The 15,206-nt window shown below is 35.9% G+C and overlaps 1 long non-coding RNA gene across 1 annotated transcript in view; it reads left to right on the top strand.

The window, feature by feature from the left end:
- LINC01677 (long intergenic non-protein coding RNA 1677) overlaps positions 1 to 15,206 on the top strand; it is a 100,630-nt gene that overhangs the window by 38,436 nt on the left and 46,988 nt on the right. The window contains exon 5 of the long non-coding RNA NR_146609.1: positions 1,311 to 1,368. This is a non-coding gene — a long non-coding RNA (long intergenic non-protein coding RNA 1677). The remainder of the gene's footprint in view (positions 1 to 1,310; positions 1,369 to 15,206) is intronic.

Below are 15,206 nucleotides of genomic sequence, written 5' to 3'. Positions count from 1 at the left end.
TTCTGCTACACTAAGGTATTATAGATTTAATAAGATGAAATAGATTTTAGCTCCACTCTCAAGTTTATGTAGAGTGGAAAATTTTAATAAAGATTCAATAAATGTTTGTTGAATAAATACATTATAAATTCAGTGTTTCTAAGTCAAAAATGTTGAACCACAGTTGGATATATGGTTTTAAGCTTTGTTTGTGTGCAATAAACACTAGAGATATGCTAGAAATTTAAAAACATAAGTCCAAAAACATCATTATTTTGTGTTCTCATTTGTAGTCCAAAAACTGACACAGAGAAAAACTATTTTATTTGAAATTTGACTTTTTAAATTTAGGACAACAATCAAATAGATGAGCAAAGAAGCCTTTTGAAGCCAAATGTGGCCTAGATTCTTTCTTTTAAGAAATATCTTTTTTTCTTTCTTCTTCTTTTTTTGACCTGACTTAAAACTCACAGCTTCCACATCGACATCCAGAATAGATAAAATGAATTAGAAGGAAATAGGCATTTACTTATGAAACAGCTATCTCCTCTCAAGTCACGATTAACCTCAACTCCAGATTTTGTTTCTAAGTTATGCCCTTTCTTTCCTGTGCAAAATCAAAATGAACATTTCTTTAATGCTGTTCACTGAGGGCTTAAATTTTGTGCTATTTTGAAATAAGTATCAGTTGGCCTGATTTTTCAGGATATATCAAATTCAAACAAGTTTTTCTCTGGATGCTTATGTAAAGTCATACTGTTTAAATCACTAAGTTCATTTATTTGCATCCTATTTCATCACCTGAGATGATCTGAAATGATTAAGCAGTCAGACAAATGCTGGGGTTATTCCTATTTCTTGATTGTTTATTATTAAGCACCTATTAGACATGTTTGCAGTTGTGGTTGCAATAGGAATATAAGGCATAGCCCCCAGCTTTCATGAGCTTGAATTTTAAGTGGAGACTAGACACATGTAGTGTGTGATTATTACAAAAATAATGATAGACAAAGAAATATATCTGAAATGAAATGAGATTAATACTGGTGAATAGTAAAAGGAAAGTGCAACTATGAAACTAGAATTTCTGATTTCAGACTGAAATGTGTCACAGAAAGTTATTTAGCTGTAGTGTATAAAGGTAAAAATCAATGTTTATGTTTTAATGTTTTCATCATATCTTCAGAACCGTCATATCCATCATTGTCTTCATAACTAACATTTATTGAGCATTTTGAATGTTCTATGCATTGCTACAAACACTGTATGCATGCTAATTAATTAATTCTCACCAAACCCCTGAGTTAAGTATAATTACTGTTCTATTTTAGAGATAAGAGAGCTGAAGAAGAGTGAAAATAAAGAAACTTCTGCAAAGCCACACATGTAGTAAGTCACAGAGCTGGATTTATAATTATTATGGCAGCCATGTAGACTGCTGAGCTTATAGCTTAACATTTTGATGAATAATGCTGCCTATCTTAAGAATTTACTGATATTGTATCTACTGCCATTTAAAATACTTTTCTGTTCTTTTTGCCTTCCTGTTAAAAGTACTATTAAAATATAATTCTTAATAAATAGGAATAAATATAATTATTAATTTCAGCTTAATTTAAGTTTATTAAGCATCTGCTATGTTCAATGTGCAGTGGTAGGCTCTGTGTAAAATATAATATACAGTTCCAACATCAAAAATGTTATAATCTGTATTTCTGTGTACCTTAACCATTCCAAGGTGCTTACCGTTCCACAATGACATAATGCACTTTTTGATTTTGTACTTTACCACATTCTAGTTAAGGCAAGTTAATTCAACATTTTGTTATTCAGGAAATATTCAGATAATACAATTCCATACTTTATAGTGTCTTGAGAAGCAAGTAAGTTTTTATAAATAAAGTTCTTAGAATGGTGTGTAGCACATGGTAAGTGCTCAGTGAAGGTTGGCTAATATTACTCTAGACAGGTCAATTCCTTTACTGATGTTAATGAATACTTCTTTGTATTTTGAGACCCAGGTCAAATAATAGACACTTTGAAGAGCTTTCTAATTCACTGGAAAGATTTTTTTTAGAAAATTTTATACCTCTTACAACCATAATTCACTTATAGAAGCAACTGTATTCATCAATTGGCCTGATGAAGTGCCAGTTGACTTTTTCTCTAGCATTAGATGCACTTTCTGACACATTTCTGGTCATAAAAATATAATACTCTTTATGTCATGTGAAGAATTTGATGAAGCCATGCACAGTATAATTCTTTATCATTTTGGTATACCTGATTTTCAGTCTTTAAAACCTTATCAAGACAACTTCTACATATAGAACTCACTGATTATTTCACTTCCCTTCACTACTTCTCTATCTTTTCATGTTTTTTTATTTTTGTCAAAGGAACTATTCATTCAAGAGAGAAGAGAAATTGTGACTAAGACATAATATATTATTTATTTTGATTTATTATTTTACATAGATCTAAAATAATGCTGTGAGGCCTACATAGCACACAATATTCCCCCAAAATACACATAAAGAATAACCCTCAGAATGAAAACTAGCTAAGAACATGAATAAACTATATGTGAAAAATTGTATAAATGAGTTACATTTGGAAATATTTAGAAAATATCCATCAGACATCTGGTATATGCAAAAAGCAAAACAAAGTAAACAAATAATAGCTTATAATTAATTGTGGAGATTCAAATATTATTGAGAAAATAAATGGGAGCTAAATGAGGAGAACACAGGGACACATAGAGGGAGATAACACACACTAGGGCCTTTTGGAGGGTACACGGTGGGAGGAGGGGGAGGATCAGAAAAAATAACTAATGGGTACTGGGCTTAATACCTGAGTGATGAAATAATTTGTACAACAAATGCCCAAGACAAACATTTACCTATATAACAAACCTGCACATGTACCCCTGAACTTAAAATAAATGATAAAAAAAGAGACATAAAATCAAGATCAAAATATCTCAGCTAACCAGAAGATTTCCAACCCAGAGGGACTATGCAGAAGATATGAATAAACATAACTCAATATGGAGACATCATTAAGCATTTGTAGCACATGTTAGATATCAATATTATTCATAGGATGAATAAATAATAATGCACCAAAAATAGAAATAAACAATAAGAGTGATTGAGAAAATGCTGATTTCAAATGAATATAGACTTAACCACCATATACTTTTAAATTTGCACTTCAGAGAAATGAGACATAGATGTCTCCACTGACTATGAGTGTATTTGAGAAGGCTGGTTAGAGGGACTTCTTTTAAATCTCATTTCAGATTGATGCTTACAGTAAATTTTTGCTTGAGCATATTTTAAACCAGAAAACTGAACATGGGGCTATTGTATTCCACTGTAGAAAAGAAATTGGCTTATTATAACATAAGGTACTTCACATTTGTATTTGAAAAACATAGGTTTTTTGTTTTAATGTCAAGATGAGAAATTGAACTCTCACATGCAGGATATCTCCACCTTCACTTTTCTTCTGTCTGTGATACTTCATAAAGTGCAAAGAAATGAGATCTACATCAAATAAGTAGAGGCAGAGGACTTTATCCTCAAATTCATGTCTGTGTAGACACTAATGTGTGTGCACACACATAGCCCTACTTAACCTAGAGGAACAGAGACATCTAAGTGGGAACTTCAATATGAGTTTTGTTTCCCCCACTAGTTTAAGATAACTACATCTTCACAGACCAGCATTTCTGAAGAGAAACAAGTCCACAGCTCCCCAGTCTCATTGGAAACACAGGTAGATGCACTGAAGGGAACCTAGAACTTTATTTTTTTTTTAATTTCAGCTGTTATTTTAAATAGAGGGAGTACATGTGTAGGATTATTACATGAGTATATTGGACCCAAGTCGTGAGCCTAGAGTACCCAATAGGTAATATTTCAACATATACTCTCCTTCCTTCCCCACTAGTAGTCTTCAGTGTCTATTGTTCCCAGGTATATGTTCATGTGTGTTCAACGTATAGCTCCCACTTATAACTGAGAATATGTAGCACTTGGCTTTTTGTTTCTGCATTAATTCGCTTAGGATTATTATTTCTGACTCCACCTACAATGCTGCAAAGAACATTATTTCATTCTTTTTGGCTGCATAGTATTTCATGGTTCATATGAACTACATTTTATTTATCCAACCCACTATTTATGTGCACCTAGGTTGGTTCCATATCTTTGCTATTGTGAATAGTGTGGCAATTAACATACAAGTGCATGTGTGTTTTTGGTATAATGATTTATATGATTTATAGTTCTTTGAGTATATACCCAATAGTGTGACATTACTGGGTCAAATGATAGCTGTGTTTTAAGTTTTTTTTCTTTTTTGAGAAAACCCCAAACTGCTTTCTACAGTGGCTAAACTAATTTACATTCCTGCCAATAGTGTATAAGTACACCCTTTTGTCCACAGCCTCAGAAGCGTCTGTTGTTTTTGATTTTTAATAATAGCCATTCTATCTGGTGTGAGATGGTTTCTCATTGCGGTTTTGATTTGCATTTCTCTGATGATGAACATTTTTTCATATGTTTGTTGGCTGCTTTTATATCCTCTTATAAGGAGTGTCTGTTGATGTCTTTTACCATTCTTTATGGGGCTATGTGGTTTTTGCTAACTGATTAGTTTAAGTACCTTATAGATTCTGAGTATTAGGATTTTGTCAGTTGCATAGATTGTGAATATTTTCTTCATTTCTGAAGGTTGTCTATTTACCCTGTTGATAGTTTCATTTGCCATGCAGAAGCTCTTTAATTTAATCAGGTCCCACTTGCCAATTTTTGTTTTTGTTACAATTGCTTTTGAAAATTTGGCCATAAATTATTTGCCAAGGTTGATGTTGTTAAGGGCATTTCCTAAGTTTTCTTCTACAATTTTTATAGTTTGAGGTTTTGTATTTAAAGCTTTCCTCCATTTTGAGTTAGTTTTTTTATATGGTAAAATGTCTAGTTTCATTCTTCAGCATGTAGCTATGTAGTTATTCCAGCATCATTTATTGAACAGAGAGTTCTTTTTCTATTGCTTGTCTTTGTCAAAATTGACGAAAATCAGGTGGTTGTAGGTGTGCAGCTTTATTTCTGAGTTTTCTATTCTGTCCCACTTGTCAATGTGTGTGGTTTTCTGGGGTGTTGTATGTGTGTGTGTGTTTAACCAAAACCAATACCTTGCTGTTTTACTTATTGTAGCCTTGTAGTATAGTTTTAAATTAGGTGATGTGAGGCCTTCAGCTTTCTTTTTGGTTGGGATCACTTTGGATTTTCAGGCTCTATTTTGATTTCATATGTATTTTATAAAAGGTTTTTCCAATTCTGTGAAAAATAACATTGGTAATTATATCATCAATGCACTAAACTAACAAGGACACTCTGGACTTAATTTTGACACCTGACCAATTGGACCTACTTTTTATCTGCACATAGAACACATTTTAAGGTTTATCACATTCTAGGTCCTAATACAAATCTCAATAAATTTTTAAAAAATGAAGTTATACCAAGTAGACTCTTGGACCACAGTGCAATAAAAATGAAAGCCAATATCAAGAACATCTCTCAAAAGTACACACATACATGGAAATTAAACAACTTTCTCTTCAATAACTCCTGAGTGAACATTGAAATAAAGGATTAATAAACAATTTTAAACTAATAAAATTAGGGACAGAAATTACCAAAATCTTTGGGATGCAAACAAAGCAGTGTTAAGAGGAAAGTTTATAGCCTTAAAAGACCTTCATCAAGAAGTTAGAAAGATCTAAACTGATAATCTAACTTTGCACCTAAAAAAACTAGAAAAAAAGAATGAACAAACCGACACCCTAACTAGCAGAAGAAAAGAAACAAATCAGAGAAGAATTTGATTAAATTAAAATATAAAAATCTCTACAAAAGTTTGATAAAATTAAGAATTTGTTCTTTGAAAAAATAAATCACATTGATAGACAACTAGCTAGGTTAACGTAGGTAAAAAGCATATGTTGAAATAAGTGCAATCAGAAACGACAAAGAAGACACTACAACTGATGCTATAGAAATATAAAAAATCCCCAGAGAATACTATGAACAACTCTATGCACACAAATTAGAAAATCTAGAGGAAAGGGATACATTTCTGGCAACACACAGTTCCTCAAGATTGAATCAAGAAGATGCCAAAAACCTGAATAGACAAAAACTCTGAAATTGAATCAGTAGCAGAAACAAAACAAAAACCCTACCAACCCTCCCCCACAAAAGGAAAAAAAAAAAACCCTGGGCCAGACAGATACATGGATAAATTCTACCATACATAGAAAGAATAACTGGTGTGAATACTACTGAAAATATTCCAAAAAAATCATGGAATAGTATCTTCTTCCCATATCATTCTTTGAAGCCAACATGAGCCTAACACCAAGATCTGGCAAAGATACAATGAAGAAAGAAAACATCAGGTCAATATCCTGAATAAACATAGACCCAAAAATCCCCAACAAAATATACGCAATTAGAATACAGCAGCACATCAAAAAGTTATTTCCACATGATCAAGTAAACTTTATTCCTAAAATATAAGGTTGACTCAACATAGTTACGAGGTGAATAACCAAAACCCCAAAAACAAAATTCACCCCAAAACAAAATTAGAAACCAAAAACATACCATCATCTCAATGGATGCAGAAAAACTTTTGATAAAAATCTAGCATCTCTTCATGATAAACACCATCAACAGACCAAGCATTGAAGGAAATTACTTCAGAATAATTACAGCCATCTATGACAAACTTATAGCCAACATCATACTGAACGGACAAAAGTTGAAACAATTTCCCCTGAGAACTGAATCAGGTAAGGAGTAAAAACTCCTATTTTAACATAGTACTGGAAGTCCTAGCTAGAATAATCATACAAGAGAAAAAATAAAAGGCATCCAAATAAAAAAAGATGAACTCAAACTACCTCTGTTTTCTGACAATATGATTCTACACTTAGAAAACCCTAAGGCTCCAAAATCTCATGTTCTCATAATTCAAAACAGTAATCATGCCCTTTTAATAGTCCTCTAAAATATTATTTCATTCTAGCGTTAAGTCAAAAGTCCAAATCGAAAGTCTCATCTGAGCAAGGGCAAGTCCCTTTCGTCTATGACCCTGTAAAGTCAAAAGCATACTAGTTACTTCCTAGATACAATGGAGGTACAGGCATTGGGTAAAAACACTCATTCCAGAGGAGATAAATTGGCCAAAACAAAGGAGCTACAGGCTCTATGCAAGTCCAAAATCCACAGTCATTAAAGCTTAATGTTCCAAAATTATGACTTTTCATGTATCTCTTGCAAGGTGCACTGATGCAAGAGGTGATTTGCATGGCCCTGGGCAGCTCTTCCACTGTGGCTTTGCAGGGTACAGCTCCCCTCCTGGCTGCTTTCATGGACTGATGTTGAGTGTCTGTGGCTTTTCCAGGAGCACGGCACAAGCTGTTCATGGATCTACCATTCTGGAGTCTGGAGGACAGTGACCCTCTTCTCACAGCTCCCCCAGGCAGGCCGCATGGGAGACTCTGTGTGATGGCTCCGTCTCCACATTTCCCTTCTGCACTGTCCTAGCAGAGGTTTTTCCCTGAGGGCTCCGCCCCTGCAGCAAACTTCTGCCTGGATATCCAGGCATTTCCATACATCCTCTGAAATTAGGCAGAGATTTCTAAGCCTTAATTGTTGATTTCTTCTCACCAACAGGCTCAACACCACGTGTATGCCACCAAGACTTGGGGCTTGCACCAATCTGAAGCAATGGCCTGAGCTGTACATTATCCTTCTTTAGCCATGGCCAGGGCTAGACCAGCTGGGACTCAGGGCACCATGTCCCAGGGCTGCACAGAGCAAGGGAACACTGAGTGTGCTCAGGGAATCATTTTTTTTCTTCTAGGTCTCCAGACGTGTGAGAGATGGAGCTTCTGTGAAGGTCTCTGACATGCCCTGGAGATATTTTCCCTATTGCCTTGGTGATTAACATTTGGCCCCTTGTTACTAAATTTCTTAATCAGGCTTGAATTTATCCCCAGAAAATGGGGTTTTATTTTCTATCACATTATCAGGCTGCAATTTTTCCAAACTATTATGCTCTGCTTTCTCTTGATCACTTTGCCACTTTGAAGTTTCTTCCACCAGATACCCTAAATCATCTCTCTGAAGTTCAAAGTTTCACATCTCTCTAGGGCAGTGAAAAAACGTTGTCAGTCTCTTTGAATAGCAAGAGTGACCTTTACTCTAATTCCCATAAAGTTCCTCATCTCCATCTGAGGCCCCCTCAGCCTGGACTTTGCCATCCATATCACTATCAGCATTGTGCTCAAAGTCATTTACCAAGACTCTAGGAAGTTCCAAACTTTCCCACATCTTCCTATCCTCTGAACCCTCCAAGCCCCTAGGAAGTTCCAAATTTCCCCATGTTCCTGTCTTCTAAGCCCTCCAAGTCTCTAGGCTAAAGTTCAAAATTTCCCCATGTTCCTCTCTTCTGAGCCCTTCAAGTCCCTAGGAAGTTCCAAATTTCCCCATGATCCTGTCCTCTGAGCCCTCCAAGTCTCTAGGAAGTTCCAAATTTCTCCATCTTCCTGTGTTCTGAGCCCTCCAATTCTGTAGGAAGTTCCAAACTTTCCCACATCTTCTTGTCTTCTGAGTACTCCAAGTCTCTAGGAAGTTCCAAACGTTCCCACATTTTCCTGTCTTCTTCTAAGCTTTCCAAGTGGTTCCAATCTCTGCCCGTTACCCAGTTCCAACCTGACGTCCACATTTTCAGGTATCTTTACAGCCTGTGGTAAAAATTTACTGTATTAGTCTGTTCTCACCCTGCTAGTAAAGACATACCCAAGAATGGGTGATTTATAAAGGAAAGAGGTATAATTGACTCACAGTTCAGCATGGCTGGGGCGGCCTCAGGAAACTTACAATTATGGCAAAAGGGGAAGCAAACATGTCCTTCTTCACTTCAGGAAGAAGTGCCAAGTAAAAGTAGAGAAAGCCCCTTATGAAATCATCGGATATTGTGAGAACTAATTCACTATTATGAGAACAGTATGTGGGTAACCACCCCCATGATTAAATTACCTCCCACCTGGTCCCTCCCACGACATGTGGGGTTTATGGGAACTATAATTCAAGATGAGATTTGGGTGAGAACACAGCCAAATCATATCAATGGTCATGATTTATTTTATTTCTAAAAACAGACCTTTTTTTTTTTCCAATGTTGACATTTAACTAATGTCAACATTGGAAGAAGTGTAGGGTTTTACCTATAATTAATATACATGCATGCATATGCTTATTTGCATTATATTTATTCATATAAGTAATTATGTGTGTGTGCTTGTTTTGTTTTTGTCAATATTCTATATGACCTGCTGCCTCCCTATCTCTAGACTCATCTTGGGCTGCTCTCCATTCACTAACTATTCTTCGGGTGTATCTTTCAATGTCCATTTCACCATAAGTGCATGACGTATGATAGACTTTTTCTGGTACACTCCACATTACTTTGTCAAAAAGTCCATTCTCAGACTTCCCAATATATATTCTGATCTCCCTAATATATAAATAGTATATTTAAAAATACGTTATACTATTTATTCTGAGAATACCTCAAAATGAAATTAAAATAGAGTTGATTTATAAAGATGAGAGTGTTACTGAATTACTGAATGAACATTCTAGCAAATTTTGATTCAGATGGAAAGAGCCTAGTATCTATATTTGACAGGCTTCTGCCCTGAACAGATATGAACTTCATTAGCCACACACACACGCGCACACACAAAAACACATTAATTTATATGTTTCAGTATATTCAGTATATTTCAATCAGCATATTTCAATTCAATATACTTTGTATTAACCTGATTTATGTATATATATATAACTGAATATTTATAATATAAACATATAAATATACTTAGTATACTGATATATACATGTAAATACATATAAATATTTATTCAGAATATTCAGTATATTTAAATTCAACATGCTTCAAACTCTATCAGCCCGATATATGTATGTATAATTTCAGTATATTCAGTATATTTCATTATACTGAAACATAATCTTTGCCTACAAAAAGCGAGGTATTTTTATCCTGTATATTAAATTCATCACATATTTGTAAAGAATTAATTTCCTGTAGAAATTAGGTATAAAAATTGGGTATCCCAAATGATTATCAGTTAGCATTTTATTAGTGTCTCTGATGTGTACAGCTGTATAATAAATACACATGATATATAATCTGTAAACACTGTGCATGTCTATTTTTAACTTTAAGAATTCTAACAATGTTATTTTATGAAGTGGAATACATTTCAGAGAAATTTGCTCAGATAGTGCAACAAATTAACTTTCAGTCTAGATAGTTGGGAGATTTGGAAATCAAAGGTTATATTTCATCTTCTTGTTAAAAGACAAATAATTTCAAGGCTAAACCAAACATTCTGTTTCTCTAAAAAGGAATCTTGAATCTTGAGACTGTTTTGCTAGTGAATGTTTTTACTTTTCATTTTGTTGTTTAAGCTTGTTTCACATGTGCACCATTTGGTCTTTAGAGTTTTAAATTATTTTCTTTTGCCAGGACTCTGTGTCCACCACCTGAATGACTATCAATTCTGAATACCCACAAAGAGTGTGCCTTTATAATTTCTGTTTTGAATTTTACCATTCTATAAATTGGAAAGATGTTTCTATTCATTTATTTATTTAAGAAAACATAGCACACTGAAACTTGGCACTGTAGAGAAGTTAGTACCTTTCTTGCAGGAAACACCTCTTCATTAACTGCCATCATCTGAGCCGTCCACCAGACACTACACAGAAAAACGTCTCAACCCTTCCATAGTTCCCCAACTTGGAAAAATATGATCTGTTTGTGTAGAAGAATATCAGGTTAGCTAAGAGTTTTATTCTAGTGTCCTGCAAATTGATCTCAAATCTACAATATTTTTAAAACATGTCAAATTCATGGCAAATGAATGCACAGAATCATACTGTTGATGCTATTTAAATCATGTAGGAGCTTATACAAACTACTAATGAAAAGAGGCTAAAATATATTCAGGTTAAGAGAACATGCTGTTCATTTTCTTTATCAGCATTGGTAAAGTAATAATGGCCACGATGGTAGTGAGGATCATTAGCCAAAACTGGTTCCACATTATGGACAGTGGCCTAATAAGATATGATGTTTCCTCAAGCAAAAATGTGAGAAAAGGCTGTCTGACTTTTTGCTCTCTCAAAGTTTTCAAAATAATCTAGGATCCTATCTTTCCTGTTACAATGCTATTGAAACTTTCTTGTCATTTTATTCCTTAACCAGAGTAAAGGATGAAACTGCAAAATGCTACCTTATCCATCAGACTCTATCTTATTTTGCTACAACAAAAAACCATGCTGCCAAGAGTGAGAATGCTATTTAATTTGGTCAAACTTCTATGATTTCCTCCTAGTCTACTCCCAAAGATTTTTTTTTAAATCTAGAATTCCATAAGTTTATACCAGGGAAGTAGGACACTTTTCTAGTAGATATATATGCCTGTAGCTTTGGAACACTTTTATAGTCATTTAAATTTATTTTCTTATAAAAATATATTAAAAATTAGGCTACTTAGTCTTACTGATAAATTTTAGATAAATGGTTAATCTTATCTCAGGCCCATGCCAGTTCTATAATTATATTCTGTAATTTACATTATATTTAGGAAGAAAAAAATAATTCCTCCTCCTGTGATATGGAAGGCCTCTGATCTTAGGCTGCTGTATTAGTCTGTTCTCACACTGCTATGAAGAAATACCTGAGACTCAGTAACTTATAAAGGAAAGAGGTTTAATTGACTCACAGTTCCAAATGGCTGGGGTGGTCTCAGGAAACTTACAATCATGGTGGAAGGGAAGGGGAAGCAAACACATCCTTCTTCACATGGCTTCAATAGAAGGAAGTGCCAAGCAAAGGGGGACGTCCCTTATAAAATGATCTGATCTTGTGAGAACTCATTCACTATCATGAGAACATCATGGGGGAAACTGTCCGTACGATTCAATTATCCCCACCTGGTCCTGCCCTTGACATGTTGGGATTATTACAATTCAAAGTGAGATTTGGGTGGGCACACAGACAAACCATATCATTTCACCCCTGGCCCCTTTCAAGTCTCATGTTGTCACATTTCAAAACACAATCATGCCCTTCCCACAGTCCCTTGAATTCTTAAATCATTCCAGCATTAACTTAAAAGTTCAAGTTCAAAGTCTCATCTGAGAGAAGGCAAGTCCTTTTCATCTGTCAACCTGTAAAATCAAAAGCAAGTTAGTCACTTCCTAGATACAACTGGGTTACAGGCAATTGGTAAATACACCCATTCCAAATGGGAGAAATTGGTCAAAACAAAAGGGATACAGTCCCCATGCAAGTTCAATATCCAATACGCAGTCATTAAACCTTGAAGTTCCAAAATGATCTCTTTTGACTCCATTGTTCATGCAAGAGGTGGGCTTCCATGGCCTTGGGCAGCTCCACACCTGTGACTTCACAGGGTACAGCTCCCATTCCCTCTGCTTTCACAGGCTGGCATTGAGTGTCTGTGAATTTTCCAGGCACACAGTTCAAGCTGTAGGTGGATCTACAATGCCAGGGTCTGGAGGATGGTCACCCTCTTCTCACAGCTCCACCAAGCAGTGCCCCAGTGTGGGGAATCTGTAGGGGCTCCATCCCCACATATTCCTTCTGCACTGCACTAGCAGAGGTTCTCCACAAGGGCTCCATGACGGCAGCAAAATTCTGCCCGTACATCCAGGTGTTTACATACATCTTCTGAAATTTAGGCAGAGGTTCCCAAACCTCAATTCTTGTCTTCTGTGTGCCCACAGGCTCAACACCATGTGGAAGTCGCCAGTCACCAAGGCTTGGGGCTTGCACTCTCTGAGGCAATGGCCCAAGCTGTATCTTGGCACCTTTTAGCCACAGCTAGAGCTGAAGCAGCTGAGATGCAGGGCAGTATATCCAGCTGCTACACAGAGCAGGGGGGCCCTGGTCCTGGCCCAGGAAATCATTTTTCCCTCCAAGGCTTCTGGGCTTATGTTGGAAGGGGCTGCTATGAAGGTCTGTGATATGCCCTGGAGTCATTTTCCCCATTGATTTGGTGATTAACGTTTAGCTCCTCTTTCGTTATGCAAATTTCTTCATCAGGCTTTAATTTATCCCCAGAAACTGAGGTTTTCTTTTCCATTGCATCCTCAGGTGCAAAATTTCCAAACTTTTATGTTCTGCTTTCTCTTCAATTCTTTGGTACTTAGAAATTTCTTCTGCCAGATACCCTAAATCATCTCTCTCAAGTTCAAAGTCCCACAGACCTCCATGGCAGGGGTGAACTGCTGCCAGTCTCCCTGCTAATGCATAGCAAGAGTCACCTTTGCTCTAGTTCTCAATAAGTTTTTCATCTGTATCTGAGACCACATCAGCCTGGACTTCATTGTCCATGTCACTATCAGCATTTTGGTCAAAGCCATTCAACAAGCCTCTAGGAAGTTCCAAACTTTCCCACATCTTCCTGTTTTCTTCTGAGCCCCCAATCTGTTCCATCCTTTACCTGTTACCCAGTTCCAAAGTCACTGCCACATTTTCAGGTATCTTTATAGAAGCACATCACCCTTTTAGTTCCAATTTACTGTATTAGTCTGATCTCGTGTTGCTATGCAGAAATACCCGAGACTGGGTAATTTAAAGGGAAAGAATTTTAATGGACTCACAGTTCCACATTGCTGGGGAGGCTTCATGAAATTTACAATAATGGTGGAAGGGAAAGCAAACACATCCTTCTTCACATGGAGGCAGGAAAGAGAAGTGCCAAGTGATGGAGGAGTTCCCTTATAAAATCATCAGATCTTGTGAGAACTTACTCACTATCATGAGAACAGCATGTGGGAAACTGTCGCTATGATTCAATTATCTCCACCTAGTCCCACCCTTGACACATGGGAATTATTACAACTTAAGGTGAGATTTGGGTGGGGACACAGAGCCCAAATCACAATGACTAGTCTAGGATATGACTGATTATTCTATCACAATCTGGATTACCCCAGTCTGTAAGTCCTAGACTTTCCTAAAACTGTCTTTCCTAGTAATACCAGAAAAGTCATTTGTCAAGTTGGACATAATAGGCCACAAGACCATATCTGTGAACAAAACACGAGGAATCCTGTTATCCTAGTTCATTTTCTTTATGACATGCAATGCCACATGAGGCTTTAATTTTCATAGTCTTCTTGGGACTTTCAGGAGTTGATCCCCCTTGGAATGGAAAATTTACCAAAGTAGCACACTTCCATGCATCATTCACCAAAAGCTTGGTCATGCCTTAGTTGTAGACACTCTCAAGTCTTAATGACATAAAGCAACAATATTGTGTTTTTTTCTTATGTTGCATGTCCATTGAAAGTCAGTAGTGAGTGGGAAGCGGCAGTGTCCTAATAAGGCCCCAGCAACGAAACTGATGGAGAAGCCTCAATCAAATATTATTAGTGCCCTTACTAAGGATGTTATTCCTAAGGTTTGACCTGTCAAGCAAATGTCTGATGTGGAAGTATTATGCATCACTTGTGATTTTATCACATTGGCCACAACTACTCAAATGTTCCCACATAATCACAAGCAGGACCAGAAATAAAATTATATTATTTTCTTCAAAATGGGAAGGAAATAAAAATGTAAAGAGCACACATGACTACTAGAGTTTTCCTTTCTGGCTATCAAAAACCTCATTTTCACTCCTTCCCACACTCAAAGCCCATTTTCCCACTCTTTATGAGAAACAAACAGAAGTCTCATCCAGCTCCTTTACCGTTAAGCCATATTCTCAGGTGTCAAGGTGATAATCCTATTCTCTAAATTAATTCTACAAATAACTTCATACCCAAAAGGTTGATCCAAGGGCTGTTTTACATTCTAAAAAGTCACAAACTATTTTAATCCATATTGATGGATTCTTTGGCACTTACACATACTTAGCTTCCTACTTTTAAACTTTAACGAGTTTTATGTGCCAATAATTTCAAATAGACTTTTGGATATTTTGTTGCGATTTTGGCTTATTGTTTGGAGACATGCTTCTTCATATCTTGGAAAAAATTATGGTGTATTAGGCCTATCAGTATTAAGAAGAA

The sequence above is a fragment of the Homo sapiens genome, chromosome 1, assembly GCF_000001405.40.
Source record: "Homo sapiens chromosome 1, GRCh38.p14 Primary Assembly".
In the NCBI taxonomy this organism is placed as follows: Eukaryota; Metazoa; Chordata; class Mammalia; order Primates; family Hominidae; genus Homo; species Homo sapiens.
This window is presented reverse-complemented; position numbering and strand designations above follow the sequence as displayed.